The 21,310-nt window shown below is 57.9% G+C and overlaps 4 annotated features.

The window, feature by feature from the left end:
* Window positions 54-123: a silencer, noted in NCBI's record as "silent region_17873". NCBI's record gives its function as "represses an Ori minimal core promoter by ATAC-STARR-seq in GM12878 lymphoblastoid cells {active_cell/tissue: GM12878}" and the evidence as "EXISTENCE:reporter gene assay evidence [ECO:0000049][PMID:35858748]".
* Window positions 773-1,368: an enhancer, noted in NCBI's record as "H3K27ac-H3K4me1 hESC enhancer chr7:2518193-2518788 (GRCh37/hg19 assembly coordinates)". NCBI's record gives its function as "activates a minimal SCP1, AML or CMV promoter by ChIP-STARR-seq in naive H9 embryonic stem cells {active_cell/tissue: H9 hESC(naive)}" and the evidence as "EXISTENCE:reporter gene assay evidence [ECO:0000049][PMID:30033119]".
* Window positions 9,400-10,284: an enhancer, noted in NCBI's record as "H3K4me1 hESC enhancer chr7:2526820-2527704 (GRCh37/hg19 assembly coordinates)". NCBI's record gives its function as "activates a minimal SCP1, AML or CMV promoter by ChIP-STARR-seq in naive H9 embryonic stem cells {active_cell/tissue: H9 hESC(naive)}" and the evidence as "EXISTENCE:reporter gene assay evidence [ECO:0000049][PMID:30033119]".
* Window positions 16,899-17,660: an enhancer, noted in NCBI's record as "H3K4me1 hESC enhancer chr7:2534319-2535080 (GRCh37/hg19 assembly coordinates)". NCBI's record gives its function as "activates a minimal SCP1, AML or CMV promoter by ChIP-STARR-seq in naive H9 embryonic stem cells {active_cell/tissue: H9 hESC(naive)}" and the evidence as "EXISTENCE:reporter gene assay evidence [ECO:0000049][PMID:30033119]".

Here is a 21,310-nt window from a genome sequence, read left to right on the forward strand (position 1 = left end):
GCCCTGCAGGGGGCAGCCCTGGGCAGCAGAGGATGAGCGTGCCTGCCCTCCCCGGCCACATCCGCGTCCCCATCCTGCCTGGCCGTCCTGGGGCCCAGCAAGCCGCAGGTCCCTCCTACGTGCCTCCCCCAGAAGAGCACAGAGAGGGAAGCCCTCACCACAGCAGGAAGGGGAGCCAGTGCTTCCTCCCCCTCCCTGTCCTGCCCCCAGCCCCAGGGACAGCCCTGGTTTCAGCTGCGGAGTGAGGACACAGAGCAGGACTCTGGGTACAGGACTCAGGGCCAGGGCTGTGCAGAACATAGAGGCAGGGGGCTGGAACAGGCTTCCCACCAGCTGACAACCTGGCGCTCGTGGCCTCTGAGCCTCAGTCTCCCCCACCGTCCGCTGGGCACAGCAGTCCAGCAATGCCATCTGCTGTCCATGCCTGGGTCCTGGCAGGGTAGGGTGGCCCAGGCAACCACAACCCTGGACACAGGAGCCCGGCCGTCATCCCCTCGCTTTGGGGTCTGTGGGGGCAGCGGTAGAGGGCCTGGGTCTCAGGAGCTGCCTAGAGCCCCAGACATCAGGGGCCCTGTGGGTGGGGCTTGAGCCCCAGACTTGCCAGACAGAAGGCCTGCGTGCCGCTGCCTGGGATGAGGGGGGCCTGAGGTCCCTGCTTCTGCCAGGCCCACTCCTCTCTGAGCTTCAACCTCCCCATCTGGGCAGTGGGCTTGTGTTACAGGAAGCTCAGCAGGCTTCGAGGCCAAAAGGGCTGTGTGAGCCCAGTCCGGGCACCCACAGTTCTCAGAAAGCTGCATGCCTCCTAACACCCAGGGAGAAGCAGGCTGGCCCTCGTCCCCATGGTGACACGTGTACTTGGCCTGTGTGTAGACTTGTGACCTCACCCCGTTTACTGTGGCTTCAGAGCCTCTCCCTCCTGGGGCGGGAGCCAGGAGCCGCCAAAGATCTCGGCAACCCGGACAACCAAGGGCCCAGAAGTCAGAACTGGGTGGGTGACAGAGAGAGACCCCGAGCTCTGCAGGCACAGCCCGTCCTCAACCCTGACTCCAGGGAGTGCAGGTCCAACCCCGGCCCACTCCCCGCTGGCCAGCCTCAGGGGTCGGGGTGGCACAGCAGGCAGTGCCCATGCTGAGTTGCTGGCTGGGCACCAGCCACTGGGTGCTGTGGCTTGGGGCCCGGGAGCAAACAGACCTCTCCTTCTCCTGTCCCACACGCCCACCCGGATGCGCGGTTTGCCCAGGGGTTTTGACCTTCACGGGCTCCCGTCTGCACCCGGCTGAGCGAGGAACTTCACCAGGAGAGCGCCTGGACTCCGAAGCCCGTTCTGTCCTGAGCCTCTATCGCGAGGCAGTGCCCAGCATGGAGCTGGAACTCAGGGATGTGGGGGAAAAAATCCTGCCCATCGCATAACAACCACCACCGTCTACTGAGAGCTCACGCCGGACCAGGCGGCAGGCTGAGTTGTTCACACGTGTTACGGGTGGTTTTCTTTCTCCCCTTGAGGGAGGCTACGAGAGCACAGAGAAGTTAAGGGGCTTGCCCAAGGTCACAACAGCAAGGGAGTCACAAAGCCAGGATGTGAACCCGGCAGCCCGTCCCAGAGTCTGTGCACCCAAAAACCATGCTAGACTGTCCCCTGGAAACAGAGCCCCTCACCAGGCTGGGATATGGGGCTAACAGCGTTGGCTTCCTGGAGGAGGAGGCACCTGAAACGGGTCTTGAAGAATGAGTAGGAGTTAGAAGGTGGTGAGGAAGGGTGTCCCAGGGAGCAGGAACAGCAGGAGCAACAGCAGGATAGTAGGCCCGAGAGTGGGAGGCTGGACTGTGCTGGAGGGGGACCAGCCACGCTGGGCACCAGCCAGGATCTGACACGCCTCAGTGTCCCCAGAGCTTCCTGGCATAAGCTTCCCAGGGACCATTTAACAAGGATGGCCTCATCTTTCCGGGAGCCTGGCAGAGCTTCCGTGGAATTCCTGGAGTCAGGTGTCAATGTACCCATTTGAGGATGAGGAAACTGAGGTTTGGATGAAGAAGTCACCCCGTGGCCCCACAGCGAGGAAGCAGCAGAGCCAGATGCAAATGCAGCCTCTGGACTCCCCGTCTGGTGCTCCCCTCGGCCCCTGCCCTCCTCTCCTGTCCCACACTCCAGCCAGCACCGAGCACCCAGCCTGGCCTGAACATGGGTGATTCCAGGGGCCCTGGCTCGAGGGAAGTCTCAGGCTAGGCTGGCAGTTTTCTCAGCCTCAGTACCCTCTGAAGCTTCCAGGACCTTCCCAGGAACCCCCTCCCCGCCCCCGGCCACATCTGGAACCGCTCGTCCAGATGGTGAGGTCAGCACGGAAATTCTCAGCCCCCGCTGGAGGAGGCGCGGGCAGCTCCCGCCGGACTGGAACAAGAGCCGACCCCAGGACGGATGGCTGCAGCCAGCTCTGCCTCAAGGAGGGCCAGCTCCTCGCCCTGTCAGGCCGCGGTGCAAGTACAACCTTGGGTCAGGAGGGAGGCGAGCCGCACAGGGAGAGGGCCAGGGCAGCTGAAAAGCACCATGTCCTCATTACACGGATGGGGAAACCGAGGCCCGCCCAGGAGGTGAGGGGCTTGCTGGGAGCCGGCAATAGCAGGGTGGGCACCAGAGCTCTGGCCCCAGCACTTGCTCCAAGGCCCCTGTGGAACTTGGCCATGGGTCCCGTTAAAGGCTGGGGTTGGCCGTGACTGGGGAGCGCTGATCCCAGGCTGACGAGGACCCTGGAGCTCTGCAGAGGGGCAGCGGGGTCCATCACTCCCCGATACTCCCTCACCTGTCCCTTCTAAATTCTCTCACAGCTGTCCCCAGCCACCGCCTGTCCCATCAACTTGCCTGTCCCGAGTGCCTTCTCTCCACAGTCCATCTCGTAGAAGCTTCCTGGGTCCCTCTCTGCCTCCCTCAGGACGGAGGGCACTTCCCATCCAAACCATTAATTGAGGCCCTGCAGTGCGCCCAGGGCTGCCTAGGACCGTGAGAGGCTATAGGAGAGGAACAGGTCTGCACCTGACCCATGTGGGACCCCTGATCCTCCACCTCCCGCCCTCCTGCGTGGCACACAGTAGGTGCCTGGGCAGTGCCGTGACGCTGCCATCCCTGATTCAGGGCAGGTGAAGGCCTCCCAGGTACCAGAAAGAAGCTAGGGAGCCCCAGCTCATCCCACCCATAGCTGAGCCCCTGATATGTGCTTCACTGGGTGCTCAACTCTGGGAGGGGGGCCACCTGCCCCACAGCCCCGATGGGGGAGAAAACCAGCTGGCCATTCTGTTATTCCGCAAATATTTGTTGAGCACCTGCTAGGTGACAGGTCCTGTGTGGTAGTAAACAAGACGGAGAGATGGATACAATCCTTGTCCTCACAGAGCTTCTGGTGTCTGGGGGAGGGGGCAGACACTAAATGGCAAAATCCAGCATGCCGTTATTTAAGTACTATTAATATTATGATAAATGCTCTGAAAGGGAAAAGATGGGGAGTGAGAGTCTTATATGCTGGGGGGACCTGGCCTTGATATGGGCAGTCAGGGAAGACTTCCTGGAGGAGGTGACATTGGCACTGAATCTGGAAGAGAGAAGGGAAGGGTGTTTCTGGCAAAGGGAACGTCCCGTGCAAAGGCCCTGGAGTGAGAAGAGTTGGGAAGAGTAAAGAACCAAGATGGGGATGGAGAAGACACGTCCCCACCCCAATCTCTGCTGCCTGGCTGGGGTCTGGCCCTTCCTGGCTCCCTGATTAACTCTCAGTGGTCCAGCATTTTTCCTGGACCAGTTGCCCACCTAGTGCCTGGCCATTGTCTGCAGCCGGTGTATGCCAACCTTGAGTCTCTTATTACACAGAGAATCTGCTCACTCGGGGGCATTTTGAGGGCTGATAAGATTTGGCTGGAGCCAGCACCAAGCAGGGGCTGCCCGTTCTGATGCCACTCCCTTTCCCTGGCACAGGCAGGCGAGCATACGGCCCCAAGGACCTTGGACGTCACCTGGCTCCCTCTTGGTGGGCCTCCCTCCTGCAGGGTCTTAGCCAGGCATACCTCCCTGGGACTTCCCTGCTTCCTCTGCACCTTTACCCCTACATCCCCCGAAAATCAAACCAGGCCCAGCTGCCTCCAACAGGTGAAGGGCCTTTTTATTTTATTTTATTTTATTTGAGATGGGGTCTTGCTCTGTCGCCCAGGCTGGAGTGCAGTGGCACGATCTTGGCTCACCGCAACCTCCACCTCCTGAGTTCAAGTGATTCTCCTGCCTCATCCTCTCATGTAGCTGGGGCTACAGGCACGTGGTACCATGCCTGGCTAATTTTTGTATTTTTAGTAGAGATGGGGTTTCACCATATTGGTCAGGCTGGTCTCGAACTCCTGACCTCAGGTGATCAGCCCGCCTTGGCCTCCCAAAGTGCTGGGATTACAGATGTGAGCCACCGCACCCGGCCAGGTGAGGGGTCTTGAGAGAGTCCTTGCCCCTCCCTGGGCCTCAGTTTCTCCAAGTGGGATAATGAACGTTGCTCTGCACTCAATGCTGTAATGAAGGTTGTCTCCTGGGCTGGGGACAGAAGCAAGGCTGGCCTTGTCCCAAAGGAGGGACATGAAGGGTGAGAGCTGCAGAACTCAGGGCTGCTGAGATGCCCACTGTGTGGGTGAGGGACTGGGGGATTCTTCCTCCCTGTCTGGCCTGGAGCCTGGGACAGCACATGGAGGCTAATGCCCAGACAGGGGCTCCCCCAGGAAAGGACAGAGCCCACATTTACCAGACACCTGCACCAGGCTGGGACCTTCACCCAGAGTGCTCATGACCACCCTGGGAGGGAGCCACGGCACTCCCATTTTATTTTACTACCTATTTTATAGATGTGGCAACTGAGGCTCAAAGGGGCGCTCTGCCTGGCCCAGGTTCACGCAGCCAGTCACTGTCTGTGCTGGTGATTTTCACCGCTGCCCTGCAGAGGCAGGGCCAGGGTTAGGGAGGGCTTGCCCCCCTCATTTTCTCAGCTTCCACAGCTGTGCTCAGCAATCGTTAGCAATGGCCCCTCACTGTACAGTCCTCAAAGCAAGTTCACATCTATTCCCGTCCCTGATAGATGAGGGCTTTCATTCCCATTTTATTGATGGAGAAACTGAGGCCACTCTGCATGTTTCTAGGGTGAGTCTTGCTGTGAACAACCTCCAGGGGTCAGTAGGGAGCCTGATCAAAAGGATGTGCCTGAGAGACTCCAAAAGCCCTTGTAAATTGTGGTGCTGCTTGGGGCGGGGGACTGGGCTGAGGGGAGGGCTCCCTAATGATTCTGAATGAGGGGAACAGGGAGTGGAGTAGTGAGGATGAGGTCTAGAACACATGGGGGCTGGGACCTTGCTATGCTGTGAAAACTCCTTGGGCCTTGAGCCAGTACCAACAATGAGTGAACTCAACGTGGCAGCCATCTTTGAGGAAGCTCAACTACTCCAGACAGACCAATCAGAAAGGGCTGGCTGGACACTGGGACTATTGGCCAGGCGCCAATGGGGGCCAGGCAAGGTGGCTCACGCCTGTAATCCCAGAACTTTGGGAGGCCAAGGTGGGTGAATCAGTTGAGGTCGGGAGTTTGAGACCAGCCTGGCCAACACGGCGAAACCTGGTCTCTACTAAAGATACAAAAATTAGCCAGAAGTGATGGTGCATGCCTGTAATCCCAGCTACTTGGGATGCTGAGGCAGGAGAATTGCTTGAACCCGCGAGGTTGAGGTTGCAGTGAGCCGAGATCACACCACTGCACTCCAGCCTGGGCAACAGAGTGAAGCTCCATCTCTAAATAAATAAATAAAAGCCAATGGGAGCCAGCTGAGCAGGATGGGGTGGAGTGGGGTGGAGCAGCCCAGCTGACATCTGGCCTGGAGGAGGATCGTGATGATTTCTACAGATGGGTACTAGGCTCCAGGGATGCAGTCTGCACCAGGTTTATAAACAAACACAGCAGTGACCTGGAATTGAGGAAGGAAGAGCTGGGAATCCAATTAGATGAGAAATGGCTGGGGGATCCTGGAGCTGGCCTGAGATGGGGATGCTGGAGTCTCCAGGGCCGCAGGATCCCTCTCCCCCAGCACCAGCTTCAGAGCCAGGGGGGCCAGGGGGGACAGAGGTCAAGCAGGCACGGGTTCAAGCCTCCCTGTCTACAGACCTCCCCAGCCTGAACCTCGGCGTGCTGCTCTGTAACCTGGGGCCACAGAGTACTAGGTTTTTTTTGTACCAACTTTTGAAAACTTTTAGTACAAAAAAAGGTGAAATATCTCATTGATTTTTATATTGATTACATGTTAAAAGGATAAGGATTTTGACATATTGGGTTAAATAAAATATATCGTTAAAAGTAGTTACACCTGCTTAATTTATTTTTTCTTTCAGAGACAGGTTTTCCTTCTGTTGCCCAGGTTGGAATACAGTGGCAAGATCACAGCTCAGTACAGCCTCAGACCTCTGGGCTCATGCGATCCTCCCACCTTAGCCTCCCAAGTAGTTGGGATTGCAGATGCACGCTACTATGCCTAGCTAATTTTCTATTTTATTTTATTTTTTTGTGGCTGTGGTCAAATTCCTGGCCTCAAGAGATCCTTCTGCCTCAGCCTCCTGAGCAGCTGGAAGGGTGGAACTGGGGCGAGGGGAGGAGAGCCGTACCCTTGCCGCCCTTACTCCTCATCCATAAACATTTCCAGAGAGAGAGAGTGCCTACTGGGTGGCGGTTGTGGGTACGGGGATGCAGCGGTGAACCAGACAGGTCTCTGCACTCACAGAACTGATATTGCTGTGGGAGAGACAGATGATAAATACCTCAACCAATAAACAGGGTATTCTGGATAGTGATAGGTGCCAGGAAAAACGTACAACAGGACAACGGCATAGAGCTGTGCCGTCCTATCCAACAGCCGCTGCCTGCACGTAGACATGAAGCACCTGGAACATCCGAATTCAGACGTGAGCATCAAAAACACCCTGGGGCCCAGCACCCGGGCGCAATGGCTCATGCCTGTAATCCTAGCACTTTGGGAGGCCGAGGCGGGACGACTGCTTGAGCCCAGGAGTTTGAGACCACCCTGGGCAACATAAGTAGACCCCGTCTCTATAAAAAAAAATTAAAAACTTAGCCAGACATGGGGATACGCACCTGCAGTCCCAGCTACTTGGGGGTGCTGAGGCAGGATTGCTTGAGCCCAGGAGTTTGAGACTGCAGTGAACCATGATTGCACAACTGCACTCCAGCCTGGGCGACAGGATGAGACCTTGCCTCAAACACACACACACACACTCACACACACACACACACTCACCACTCACACACACACACTCCCACAGACACACACAGACACACACCCACACCCTCACACGCGCGCGCGCGCGCACGCACACACACACACACACACACACAGGAATTTGAAAACAGTTCAAAAAATGTAAGATTTCTGGGTAATAAGTCTCATATTGGGGCCAGCGAGGTGGCTCATGCCTGTACTCCCAACACTTTTGGAGGCCAAGGTGGGCGCACAGATCGCTTGAGCCCAGGAGTTTGAGACCAGCTTGGGCAACGTGACAAAACCTCATCACTACAAACGATACAGAAAATTAGCCAGATTTGGTGGTGCATGCCTGTAGTCCCAGCTACACGGGAGGCTGAGGTGGGAGGATCGCTTTAGCCTGGGAAGTTGAGGCTGCAGTGAGCCGTGATGGAGCCACTGCACTTCAGCCTGGGTGACAGGAGTGAGTTCCTATCTCAAAAAGAAAATGATAACAGTAATTTTCATATTGATTACATGTTAAAAGAATAATAGTTTCGACATAATTGGGTTAAATATCTTTTTTCTTTTTTTTTTTGAAATCGAGTCTCCCTCTGTTGCCCAGGCTGGAACGCATTGGCAGGATCTTGGCTCACTGCAACCTCTGCCTCCTGGGTTCAAGCAATTCTCTGCCTCAGCCTCCCCGTAGCTGGGATTACAGGCGCCTGCCACCACGTCCGGCTAATTTTTTTTGTATTTTTAGTAGAGACGGGTTTCACTATCTTGGCCAGGCTGGTCTCAAACTCCTGACCTCATGATCCACTCACCTCGGCCTCCCAAAGTGCTGGGATTACAGGCGTGAGCCACTGCGCTCAGCCAAAATATCTTATTAAAAGTAATTACAGGGCCAGGCGTGGTGGCTCACGCCACACAGCACTTTGGGAGGCCGAGGTGGGTGGATTACCTGAGGTCAGGAGTTCGAGACCAGCCTGGCCAACGTGGTGAAACCCCGTCTCTACTAAAAATACAAAAATTAGCCAGGTATGGTGGCGGGCACCTGTAATCCCAGCTACTCGGGAGGCTGAGGCAGGAGAATCACTTAAACCCAGGAGGCAGAGGTTGCAGTGAGCCAAGGTCATGCCACTGCATTCCAGCCTGGGCAATAAGAGCGAAATTCCATCTCAAAAAAAAAAGTAATTATAACTGCTTAAATTTTATTTTTTCTTTTAGAGACAGGGTCTCACTCTGTCACCCAGGCTGGAGTGCAGTGGCATGATTATGGCTCACTGAAGCCTCTACCTCCTGGGCTCAGGTGATCCTCCTGCCTCAGCCTCCTGAGTAGCTGGGGCTACAGACACATGCCACCATGCCTGGCTGAGTGATTGATTGATTGATTGTAGAGACGGAGATCTCACTATGTTGCCCAGGCTGGTCTCAAACTCCTGGCCTTAAGTAATCCTCCCCCATGACCTCCTAAAGTGCTGGGATTATAGGCCTGAGCCACCATGTCTGGCAAAAAGATGTCTTTCATGTGGCTAGTTGAAAATCTAAAATGGCAACCGTGGCTTGTGTCATACTTTTTTTTTTTTTTTTTTTTGAGACAGAATCTTGCTCTGTCGTCCAGGCTGGAGTGCAGTGGCGCAATCTCGGCTCACTGCAACCTCCACCTCCTGGGTTCCAGCAATTCTCCTGCCTCGGCTTCCTGAGTAGCTGGGATTACAGGCCTGTGCCACCATGCCTGGCTAATTGTTATATTTTTAGTAGAGACAGAGTTTCGCCATGTTGGCCAGGCTGGTCTCGAACTCCTGACTTCAAGCAATCCACCCACCTCGGCCTCCCAAATTGCTGGGATTACAGGCGTGAGCCACCTTGCCCGGCTGAGTCATATTTCTTTCTTTCTTTCCTTTTTTTTTTTTTTTCTTTTGAGACAGAGTCGTGGTCTGTCATCCAGGCTGGAGTGCAATGACGAGACTTCGGCTCACTGCAACCTCCACCTCCCTGGTTCAAGAGATTTTCCTGCCTCAGCCTCCCGAGTAGCTGGGATTACAGGTGCCCGTCACCACACCCGGCTAATTTTTGTATTTTTAGTAGAGACGGGGTATCACCATGTTGGCCAGGCTGGTCTCAAACTCCTGGCTTCAGGTGATCCACCCGCCTTGGCCTCTCAAAGTGCTAAGGTTACAGGCGTGAGCCACCATGCCCAAACTTGTGTCATGTTTCTATCAGACGGTGCAGGATGAAGATGATGGGTGGGGGGAGGGAGGGAGGGAGAACTGGAGCAGAATGTGGGGTGGGAGTGGGAGGCTCTTGGGCTCTTGAGGGTGACCCAGGACAGGACGCTGGAGGAGGAATGCTGGCACAGGGACAAAGCATGGTGAGATGGGGGTGCTTAAGGAGCAGGAAGGAGATCCGTATGGCCAGAGCAGGGGGTGCAGAGAGGATGGGGTGAGGGACATTGTGGGGTGGGTCCGAGGCCATGAGAGAGACAGGCTGGGGCTGGACGCCGTGGGGTCCTCCAGCATCCCTCAAAAGGCAGGACCCAGATGCCCAGGCCTGGGGAGTGGTGTGGGAAGGAGCTGGTCGGGGTCTGCTCCCACCCCTAATCCTCATGGGGCAGACCGTGGCCCACACAGCCGGAAACCCCTGCCCCACCTGGGACTGGGAAGTCAGGGCCCAGCTTTTCCACACCAGCTTCTGCAGAGACATGCAGCTGGGCTGGCCTCGAACTCATGCTCCTGCCAAGGCTGCGGGGAAAAGACCCAGGGGAGCCATCAGCTCCCAAAATAACTTCACACCAGCTCCAGGACAGCTGTGGAGGGTGGAGGAGCCCAGCCCAGAGCTGGGAGCACTGCCAAGTCCTGGGGAGGGTGGGCCTGGAAATGGATGGAGAGAGGGGGGCACGCAGAGAGGGCCAGAAGAAAACAAGGGATGTGGAGACAGGTATCCTCACCTGGAGAAACAGTCTGGGGGAAGGAGGGGAGAGGGACCCCCCAGTGAGTACAGGTCGCCAGTACTCCCTTAAGAGAGGCCTCTGCCGGACGCGCCCCCTCTCCCCCGCCCCCAGCCAGGAGGCCCTGCAGAGAGAGAGAAGACAGTGTCCCCAAGCCGGGGTCAGAGGGATGAGCCTCGGCAGGGATGGGGCCCCCACGGTGTCCAGAATCCCAGGAGCCCTATCTGACCAGGTTGGGCCCCACAGAGGGCCCATCTCCCAGCACCCCTGTTTTCCCAGAGGAGAAACTGAGGCTCAGAGAGACGGGGGAGTTAATCTGAGGAACCACAGCATGGCTGTCAGGCGAGGGCACAGCTTGGCCAGGCAGTCTTCCCCCATGCCCTGCACACTTGGTCACCACTAATTCAGCTGGCCAGCAGGCTCCGATAGAATGTTCCACCCACTCCTTGGGTCCCCAGGGCATTGGGAAATGTCCTCAGCGTAGCATGGCCAGCCCTGGGCAGAGCTGGTGGAGTTTCCCCAGCCCGAGGTGGTCAGGGGGCAAGGGAGAGCCGGGAAGGCTGGCAATGACGAAGTTGGGGAAGGTGAGGAAACTGAGGCAGAGAAGGAGCTCCCAGGGAGCCTGGCTGTCCCGTCTTCAGGCCCAGGCCCAGGGGAGGCTGGGAATTTAGGAGCTGGAGGTATTCTTCTGAGAGGAAAGCATTTTTGATGCAAGAAGCTTTATCCAGTTCTACACGAGCCAGTCATCTCCTTCATGTATTCAAGCAACATTTACGAATCGGTCACCGTGCCCTGGGAGCTGGGAGGCCACAGAGAACCACGACAATCTGGACCAAAAAAAACTAACAAGGACCAAAGCTCAGAGGGGGTTGGGGCCAGCCTGAGCCCACTGGCTGTGGAGGGGGCTGTCTGGCAGGCAGGGAGGTGGGCAGCCCGATGATGGGGCTGGAGTTGGGGGTCAGGGGCCAGGGGCTGGCCTGGAGTCTGCATGGGTCAGTGTCAGGGCGGGGTCTGCAGGGCCTCCCGTGCCCCCAGCTCACCCCTGCCCGGAAAGAGAGGCACTTCCTTCTGAAAGCCTTAAGCATCTGCTGAATGACCCACATTGCTTGCTCCCCGGTGCTAACTTTTTGCCACGTGTTTTTCAGGATAGAAAATATAAGCAATGAAAAACCGTGTGTGTTTAACTCAGGTATTGGATGGAGGGCCTTCTACAAGATGGGATGGGGACACTTGAGTGAGGGCCAAGTTCAAGAAGAAGAGACAGTCTCAAAGGAGAGCCTCACAATCAACGAAAAAAGAAGAGAGAAGACAGAGTGAGCCTGAGGTATCCAAGGGCGCAGCTGACCAGGGAGGGGGCAGGCTGGGCCCAGGCAGGTGTCTGTGGTGCTAGAAGACACCTGCCCCATGAGCCAGAGGACACTGGGCCCAGGACAGAGCCCAGAGCCACCTTCAGGGGACAGGAGAGGGCCTGGAGGAGGGGTGGGAGAAAGGTGGGCTTGTGGCTGGGTGCAGTGGCTCACGCCTGCAATCCCAGCACTTTGGGAGGCCGAGGCGGGTGGATCACCTGAGGTCAGGAGTTCGAGACCAGCCTGGCCAACATGGTGAAACCCTGTCTCTACTAAAAATACAAAAATTAGCCAGGCATGTTGGCGGGCATCTGTAATCCCAGCTACTAGGGAGGCTAAGGCAGGAGAATCGCTTGAACCCTGGAGGGAGAGGCTGCAGTGAGCCGAGATTGTGCCACCGCACTCCAGGCTGGGTGACAGAGTGAGACTATCTCAAAAAGAAAAAGGAAAGAAAGAAAGGTGGGCTTGTGCGCCAGGCTGGGAGCCAGGCAGAGGGTTCTGGGCGCTGACTGCCCAAGGAAAATGGTGTGAGAGGTGCTGGCACAAGGCCTGGGAGGGGATGCTTGGATTTAGCAACGAGAGGTCCTCAGAGGGCATGGAGTGAGTGGGCAGTGAGGAAACGGGGACCCTTCCTCCCCCTTTCACCCCCCTTTCCTGTCTCCCTCGGTCTCCACCCTCTCCACCCACCATCCCAGGACCCTGCGCTCTGGGGGCAGAGCAGACACAAAGAGGGGCTCAGGGGCTGGAGTCTGGCTGCCACTCACCCTGGCCCCCAGGGCCACCAGGGGCCACCCCCACCCACCCGCTATCCCCGCTCCAACTGCTGCTCCCACTTCCCTCGGCCGGGACGGGACACAAGAGTCTTTCAAAAACATTTCCTTTGCAAAATAATCCTTCCAAAAATGTTTTTGGAAACGGACTCCTGATCTGAACAGGAAGACGTTAATTATGGTCCCTCCCCAGAGGGGCAGGGGGAGGAAGCCTGGTGGTCGAAACAGGAGCGGGGGCCAGGACAGCCCCAGCCCACACCCAGCCTCAGCCTCCTGCCCCCCAGGCCCCTGGGCCCAGCCCCTCCACCCACAATGGGGAGACAGAGACTTAGGGAGGGCCAGCGACATGGCCAAGGTCACAGGTCAGAAGCTGAGCAGGGTGGAGTCTTCTACTTCTGCTGCCACGTGGCATCCGTGCGAGAGCGTGGCGAGGCGTTGTGCATTCGTGTGTCTCTGTGCCTTTGTGTGCAGGAGTGAAGGTGGGGCGGGGGCAGGCAAGGAAGCTCCCAGGGTCCACAGCCTCCCCAGGCCTGACTTCCTCCCCCAGCAGGCCACTTTCCCCTGGTGCCCAGGTGTTGGCCGGACTCCGACTACAGCAAGGAGGAAGGAGACAGGGCTGAGGACCTCCCTTTCTGCTGCTGCTCTTAAGCGCCAACCACCCTCCAAACAAGTGCCATCTGGGATCCCCCTGGGCCTAGATGAGGTCCCACCATAGACGTTTTCTGAATGTACCTATGTCCATCTCAGTCAGCCCTGATGCTTATGTTCTGTGTCATGTAGTCTAACTGGTAGTAGGGATTGTAGTTAGCTTGGAAGTTTGGGGTATCTAAACCCGCACCTTTGCTGAGCCATCTAGCCAGAGATCCCACCATCCAGCATATGGCACCAGGGTTCATCTGAGTATAAATTCAAGGAATGAGCTAGGAGCCATCCTTCCTCTCATCCATCCTTCTGACCATCCACGCACCCATCCCCCATCCATCCATCCATCCATCCATCCATCCATCCATCCATTCACCTATCCACCCATCTATCCACTCATTCATCCATCCATCTACCCACCCACCTACCCATCCACCCATCCATCCACCAACTCATCCATGCACACATCCATCCATCCATTCACCCATCCACCCATATATCCACCCATTCATCCATCCATCCATCCATTCACCCATCCACCCATCCGCCCATCTATCCACCCATTCATCCATCCATCCATCCATCCATCCTTCTGACCATCCACCCACCCATCCCCCATCCATCCATCCATCCATCCATTCACCCATCCACCCATCCGCCCATCTATCCACCCATTCATCCATCCATCCATCCATCCTTCTGACCATCCACCCACCCATCCCCCAACCATCATCCATCCATCCATCCATCCATCCATCCATTCACCCATCCACCCATCTATCCACTTATTCATCCATCCATCTACCCACCCACCTACCCATCCTCCCATCCATACACCAACTCATCCATGCACACATCCATCCATCCATCCATTCTTCTACCCATCCCTATCCACCCATTCATCTATCTATTCATTCATCCATCCATCCATCCATCCATCCACCCACTCATCAGTCCTCTGTCCATCCATCCATCCATCCATCCATCCATCCATCTATCCATTCACCTATCCACCCACCCACTCACCCACCCATCAGTCCTCTGTCCATCCATCCATCCATCCATCCATCCGTCTATCCATTCATCCATCCATCCATCCACCCACCCACCCACACATCAGTCCTTCTGTCCATCCATCCATCATCCACCCACACATCAGTCCTTCTGTCCATCCATCCATCATCCACCCACACATCAGTCCTTCCGTCCATCCATCTATGCATCATCCATTCATCCATCCATCCACCCACCCACCATCCATCTCTCCATCCAGCTGTCCCAACCTGCACTTTCCTCTTCATCCATCCACCCACCCACCCACTCACCCACCCATCAATCCTCTGTCCATCCATCCATCCATCCAACCATCCATCCACCCACTCACCCACTCACCCACCCACGCATCAGTCCTTCTGTCCATCCATCCCTCCATCCACCCACACATCAGTCCTTCTGTCCATCCATCTATCCATCATCCATTCATCCATCCATCCACCCACCGACCCACACATCAGTCCTTCTGTCCATCCATCTATTCATCCATCCATTCACCCATCCATCCATCCATCCATCCATCCATCCATCCATCCATCCACCCACACATCAGTCCTTCTGTCCAGCCAGGCAGCCAGCCTGCCAGCCAGCCATCCATCCACCCACTCACCCACCCACACATCAGTCCTTTTGTCCATACATCCATCTATTTTATTTTATTTATTTATTTTTTGAGATGGAGTCTCGCTTTGTCACCCAGGCTGGAGTGCAGTGGCACGATCTCGGCTCACTGTAACCTCTGCCTCCCGGGTTCAAGTGATTCTCCCACCTTAGCCTCCCAAGTAGCTGGGATTACAGGCATACGCCACCAAGCCCAGCTAACTTTTGTATTCATCTATCCATTTATCCATCCATCCACCCACCCACCCACACATCAGTCCTTCTGTCCATCCATCCATTCACCCACTTACCCACCCACCCACCTACCCACCCACCAGTCCTTCTGTCCATTCATCCTTCCATTTACCCCTCTGTCCATCTATCCATCCACTCACACGCCTAGCTGTCTGTCTGTCTGTCCATGTGGGACAGAATACTAAGGGGAGGAGGATCAGAGAGTTATGGGGACTGTGGAGGGGAGATATTGCAGGTTGGAGTCAGCGCCTCTGGTCAGTCTTCCTCTCCCCCATACTTCTTCATGGAGGCCTCAGTTACTGCCTGCCTTCCAATGGATAAACAGCTTCATCGGCTGCACCCACCATGCCCTAAGAGGGGCTGTTGGAGGACAGAGGCCGTCACTGGCCCTTCCCTGTCTCTGAAGCTGGTAGATGTTTGCCGAGTGAACTCAGACCTGGTGTTGTCCAAGGCACAGCCCCAGCACAGAGAGGTGCAGCCCACAGGCAGCCATGGAAGGGACTCACTGCCTGGATGGACAGTGGGGGCATGGACCCGCAGAACTCGCTGATGCCCTTGAGCTCCCTGTTGCCCCACTTGAGCTCAGCACAGCACGAGCTCTGGGTTCCAGGAGAGGCTATGGGAAAGGCCCCTTTCAGGCCCCTCAAAGGCCATAGGGCATCTTGTCGGGGACAGTTTGTCACCCCAGGGCTTGGGGAGAGAGACTTGGACCAAGCCCAGGATGATTTGATGGGGAAAAAATGCCCCCAGGAGGAGCATCATATCCTGACTGCCAAGTCAGCCCAAGCTTATCGCAGTCTCGTCCTCAGCGTCCCCACTGGGAGAGCAGGGGGGCTGCAGGCCTGGGGCGGAGTGGGGAGGGCCTGTGGCCCCGAATCAGAGGGTGGGGCCTGGGTCACCCTTGTACTCCCTCTTCTCTGTGCTTCCCTGTCTCTTTCCCTCCTGTCTCTAGCTCTCCCTATCTGTCTCTCTCCCAGTGTCTCTGTCCCTCCCTGTCTCTGTCCCCTGCTCTCTCTGTTTCTGTTCTATCTCAGCATTCTCTGTCTCTTCATCTCTGTCTCTCCCTCCGTCTCTCCTTCCTTGCTTCCCTCCAGGACATCCAGCCCCTCTCTGGGCCTCATCCTGCAGACGAGCCCTGCCCCCACCCCCACCCTGCCTTGGGTCCAGAACCTCCTCCCCTTCTTGGGGCCACTAGAGGTGACTGCAGTCCACACAGCCACCCCACGCTGGCCTGCACGACCTGCTTCCCTCATCTACCCACCTAGAGTGCTGAGGTGGGGCCATTCTGGGATCCTGGAGCAGGGCACAGGTGTGGTCAGGGCACAGGTGTGGTCAGGACACAGGTGTGGTCAGGGCACAGGTGTGGTCAGGACACAGGTGTGGTCAGGACACAGGTGTGGTCAGGGCACAGGTGTGGTCAGGACACAGGTGTGGTCAGGACACAGGTGTGGTCAGGGCTGTGCTTCAGCATTGCCCAGGGTCTGCAGAAGGCACTCAGGTTAGGATGAGACTGATGGGTGGTGAACAGAAGTCCCACCCCCAGTCCCAGTGGGGAAGGGGCAGTCACAGGTGCCCGAGCCCACCCTGCCCCACCCTGGGCCTCATCAGTGGCCCCCTTGAGGTCCTCCTATAATCTCCAGCGGTGCAGGCCACAGAGGCGCGGGGACTTCTGGCACGCGCCCTCCAGGAACAGGCGTGCCTGTCTTGTGGGCCAGGACCCAAGGAAGCGGTGGGGGCAGGAAGGGAGCGGGCAGTGCCCCGGGTATCCCAGGGGTCAGCCAGGAGGTGGGTGGGGCAGGGGCAGCTAGGGAGCCCCCCGTGGGCCCAGCCGGGTCTCTGCTGGCCACGGCTCCCTGGTATCCTGCTCCAGGAGACCCCTACTCTATGGCCGGCTCTGCTCACATCCAGAGGGGGAAGGGGTCAGGCCGAGGGATGTGCAAGAGGGGTGGGACCTGAACCGGACTTGGAGTCCTCCCGTCTGCAGGACCCTGGGCCCAAGGAGGACCCTCCGTGGTCTCTGTGGTGGGAGCAGAGCACCGCCCTCCCTTCCAGACGACCCCTGCCTCACATCTTCCCTCTCTGCCCTATGCTGGGTGGGGCTCTGGGCACTTCACACACGTGGGTTGCTGGAGCCTGGACTTGAGGAAGCCTGACTCCAGCACTGCTGGCCACCAGGGTCCCAGGCATCCTTGCCTTGTCACTTCCCTCTGGCTTTAGCTCAGATGCGAAGGTGCTGTCATCTGCGACCCCTCTAAGGGAGGCTCCCCAGGGAGGCCCGAGGGGCAGTTTAATGAGGAAACAACGTGGCCAACACGTGTCTCCCGGGGAGCAGTCAGGGCCTCCTGCTCTTGTCCCTGCCCCCGAGTCCCTTGTTCTCGCCATCCCCTCCACTGCACCTGTGAGGGGCCTCCAGGCTGGGTGACATCTGAGCATTCGCGGTCCAAGTGGTGTGGGGACTGGGGTCGAGAAAAGGAGAGGGGGGCCGGGCCCGGTGGCTCACGCCTGTCATCCCAGCAATTTGGGAGGCCAAGGTGGGCAGATCACTTGAGGTCGGGAGCTCGAGACACGCCAACATGGTAAAACCCCGTCTCTACTAAAAATACAAAAATTAGCCGGTCATGGTGGCGCATGCCTGTAGTCCCAGCAGCTACTCGGGAGGCTGAGGCAGGAGAATCACTTGAACCTGGGAGGTGGAGGTTGCAGTGAGCCGAGATCTTGCTACTGCACTCAAGCCCAGGTGACAAGAGCGAAATTCTATCTCAAAAAAAAAAAAAAAAAGAAAAGGAGAGAGGCTGGTGGCTGGAGGCAGGGGTGGAGGCAGGGGGTCGCCTGCCCACTGGCTGCTCCTCCGTCAGCCTCCTGTCATGCACACCCCGCACACGTGTGCACCACCGCTCAAACCATAAATATGGGCAGGGCCAGGAGCAGCACGTGGGGCTGAACACTGGGCGTAGTGGCTCCTCATCCCCCGCCACCATGCACAGCCTCGCTGAGCCCCCAGGCCCAGCCCTGTGCCTGCCCGGCCCTCAGTCTTGCCATCTGGTCAGTGGGTGGGGCTCCCACATCTCCAGGGGTGGCCCCCCGAACACCTACAGTCGGGTGAGTCTGTTTATGAGCCGGGACTCCCACCCCAATCCCAATTCTCCCAATTCTCTTTGGGTCAGGAGGGGAAATTGAGGCCCAGAAGGTCACTCTAGCCTCCTCTGGAGCACGGCCCCTCAGGCGCTGGCAGGGTGTGGGCTGGTCCTGTCTGTCTGTCCATTGTTCCACGGCCACCAGGGCCCCTGACCACCCCACCCCCACTGCAGAGAGGAGGCCCTGTGGGGAGGGAGTGGGGCGGGGTGCCGTGGAGGGGGCCTGGGGGGTGTGGGGAGGGCCAGACCTGTTAACAAGCTTCTTCCCAGCCTCACCCGCCTTCAACTCCCCAGCCCTTCCCAGGCGGAAAATTCAATTAGTCTCGAGCAACTGCTTTGCTGAAGAGCCAGAGAAAGGGGACCCGCCTGGCGGCTGTTGTGTGTGTTGGGGGAGGGGGGATGAGGGGGATGCAGAGGCAGCAGGAGGGAGGGTTAGGAGGTAAACAGGCTGCTGGTGCATGCAGTCCACCGGGTCCCTGTCTCTGTGCGTCTCTAGAGGTGGGTCTTTGTATGTGACTGTGTGTCCTGGGCCCCTGTGTGCCCACCTCTGCTCCTGCACAAACACAGCCCCTGGAATATTCCGTGTGTGCCCCTCTGTCCCCTTAGCCAAAGCGTCAAACCGGCTCATCTTAAGTCAAGCTCGGCTCTAGGTTCTCATGGCTGGGTGCCTGAGGTGGGGAGCACCCCCCTGCAAACTGCATCATGCCACGCTCTACTCACAGGGGTGTGGTGTGGCCCCAGGTCTCCCAGACTAGGTGTCCCCGCCCCCACCTTGGCTCCACACTGGCCTCTTGTCCCATCCTCTGTCAGCATCCTGGCCACAGGGCCTTTGCACATCCTGCCTCCCCCACGCCTGGTAAGCTTCCACTTACGAACCTTGCCTCCAGCAAGCCCAGGCCTCTTCTGTCTCCCATCACCACTGGGCCGCACAGCCAGCTGCCAGAAGTTTCCTCTGTCGAGGGGTGGAGGGCAGTCTTGTGTGGACTACCCACCGTCCCTGTGACCAGCACCGGGCCCAGCACACAGCAGGTGCTCAGTACATTTTTTGTTTGTCTGTCTGTTTGTTTGTTTGTTTTGAGACAGAGTCACTCTGTCGCCTGGGCTGGAGTGCAGTGGTGTGATCTCGGCTCACTGCAACCTCCACCTCCCAGGTTCAAGAGATTCTCCTGCCTCAGCCTCCCAAGTAGCTGGGATTACAGGCACGCACCACCACGCCTGGCTAATTTTTTGTATTTTTAGTAGAGACAGGGTTTCGCCATGTTGGCCAGGTTGGTCTCAAATTCCTGAGCTCAAGCAATCCAAACCCACCTCAGCCTCCCAAAGTGCCGGGATTACAGGCATGGGCCACCGCACCCAGCCAAGTGCTCAATAAATGTTGAGTACATTGATGAAGTGCCCAAGGGGGTCTGAGCACAACTCTCAGGCCCACATAGGAGTTTAGAAATGACAATGAGTTCTGCACGCCCCTCTCTACCTGGTGGACTCCTATGCATCCTGCTATGGCCTGATTTTCAGTACCCTCTCCTCCAGGAGAGGCTCTGAGGATCAGTGAGAACAAGCATTGCAGCTTGGCCTCAGCCTGAGGTGTCTGTGCTTTCCTCTGGGACCCTCTCCCCTGGTCTCTAGCCCATGGTCTCCCAGGTCCCACCCAGGTACCCCTGATGGGATGAGGGGCAGACCTCCTTACTCTGCTGTGATTGCATCCCGGACCTGCAGGGAGAAGAGCCGGCCAGCCTGGCCTCTACCCAGAAGCAATCTGTGCTGCCCGGAGTGCAGGATGGGGACAGAGCTGCCCATCTGACCAGCCCTGCCGCACTGCCCTCTTCCTCCCTCCACCTTCCCTGGCCCTAAAGCCCCCAATCCCTGCATGAGGAGTGGGGGGTACCCAGTTGAGTCAGACGCTCGTGGGTGTCCAGGAGCTGGGGGCAGCCATGGACAGGGCGTTCCTTCCCAGGTCGGGGGGGCCCTGCTCCCAGTACACAGGAGGGTCTGGGGCCACCAGGCGCACAGGAAGCCTCGGGAAAATTTGTCAAAGGGCTGAGGGAGTCACCCACAGGAGGAACAGGGGGTGACGGGCATGGACAGGGTCCCCAGACCCTGCCGGGGTGGGGCCCGGTGCCCATGTGACCTGTCAAAGCGGGTTTGGGATGGGGAGGGGGCCCCAGGGTCTGCTGGGGAAGGAGGGGGCGTGGGAAGGGCCAGATGTAGGGAGGGGCAGCGTGTGCAGGAATGCGGGCGGCCCCTCCTCTTCCCCGAGAGACAGAGGCAGATGGCAGGCTGGGGGCGCTGAGGATGGAGGGGGAGGCCAGCCAGCCCCGGCTCTGATGGGTGCCTATGGCCCCTCCCCCAGAGTTGAGGGGGACACAACCTTCTCAAGTTCCCAGCCCCATAACCTCTGCCAGCTGCGTGCAGCTGGGGCCATGCCCGGAGGAAACCCAACACCATGGGGGGGTGGACCCCGGGCCCGGCTGCTTCCTCATCAGGACTGTTTGTGAGCTGCTGGGATGCTCATCCCAGGGGCTGCAGGCCGGTGCTACAAGAAGTGACAAGGGTGGCCCCCAAGCCCGGGTGTCACCACCCCAGTAAAGGCTGGAGGGTGCTGCGTAGATGCAGCTCCCTGCTTGGAGGACCGCCTAGCGCACCCTGTGATCACAGTAGCCCCTCACGAGCTCCAAGCTGCACACAACCTCCAGGAAGAACAGGATCCTGAAGCTGGAGAGGTCGAGGCCAGGTTAGGGTATGGGGTACCCAGGGTAGGGGAGGCAGGAGCAAGAAGCTGCTCAGCCTCCACTCTTGAGCCTCAGTTTCCTCACAAGGGCCCTGGCCCCCAGCAAAGGGCTGTGATCTCACCTCCTAGCTGGCCAACCTCCCAAAGCTCCTTTCTCACGTGCGGGCCTCATCGAGTCCCTTAGTGGGACAGGGCAGAGCCCACCCGGAGGTCCCATGGAGAGCCTGCCTTTGCCCCCATCCCTACCCTGGAGCTCTGCACTCCCTCAAGTATACCCTACTCTTCAGGCAGGGAGACTGAGGCCCTGCCCAGAGCTGCCCCGTCTCAGCTCCCTGGTTCCTGCCCAGAGCCCGGAGTGGGGGCTGTGTGGGGAGGGGCTGCCAGATGGCTGTAATCCCATGTCAACAGGGGTTTAGACACCTGCTCAGCTCCTTGCCACCCCCTCAGGCCTGCCCCGCATTCCGGCACATCTCGGCTTCCAAGGGGCTTTCCCCACTTGGCTGGAGTCTGGGCCTCCCACACTGGGGTGGGGGTGCTGTCTCCCCACCCCTGCCCCATCTGAAGCACAGACTTCACAGCCTGGT

The sequence above is a fragment of the Homo sapiens genome, chromosome 7, assembly GCF_000001405.40.
Source record: "Homo sapiens chromosome 7, GRCh38.p14 Primary Assembly".
NCBI lineage: Eukaryota > Metazoa > Chordata > Mammalia > Primates > Hominidae > Homo > Homo sapiens.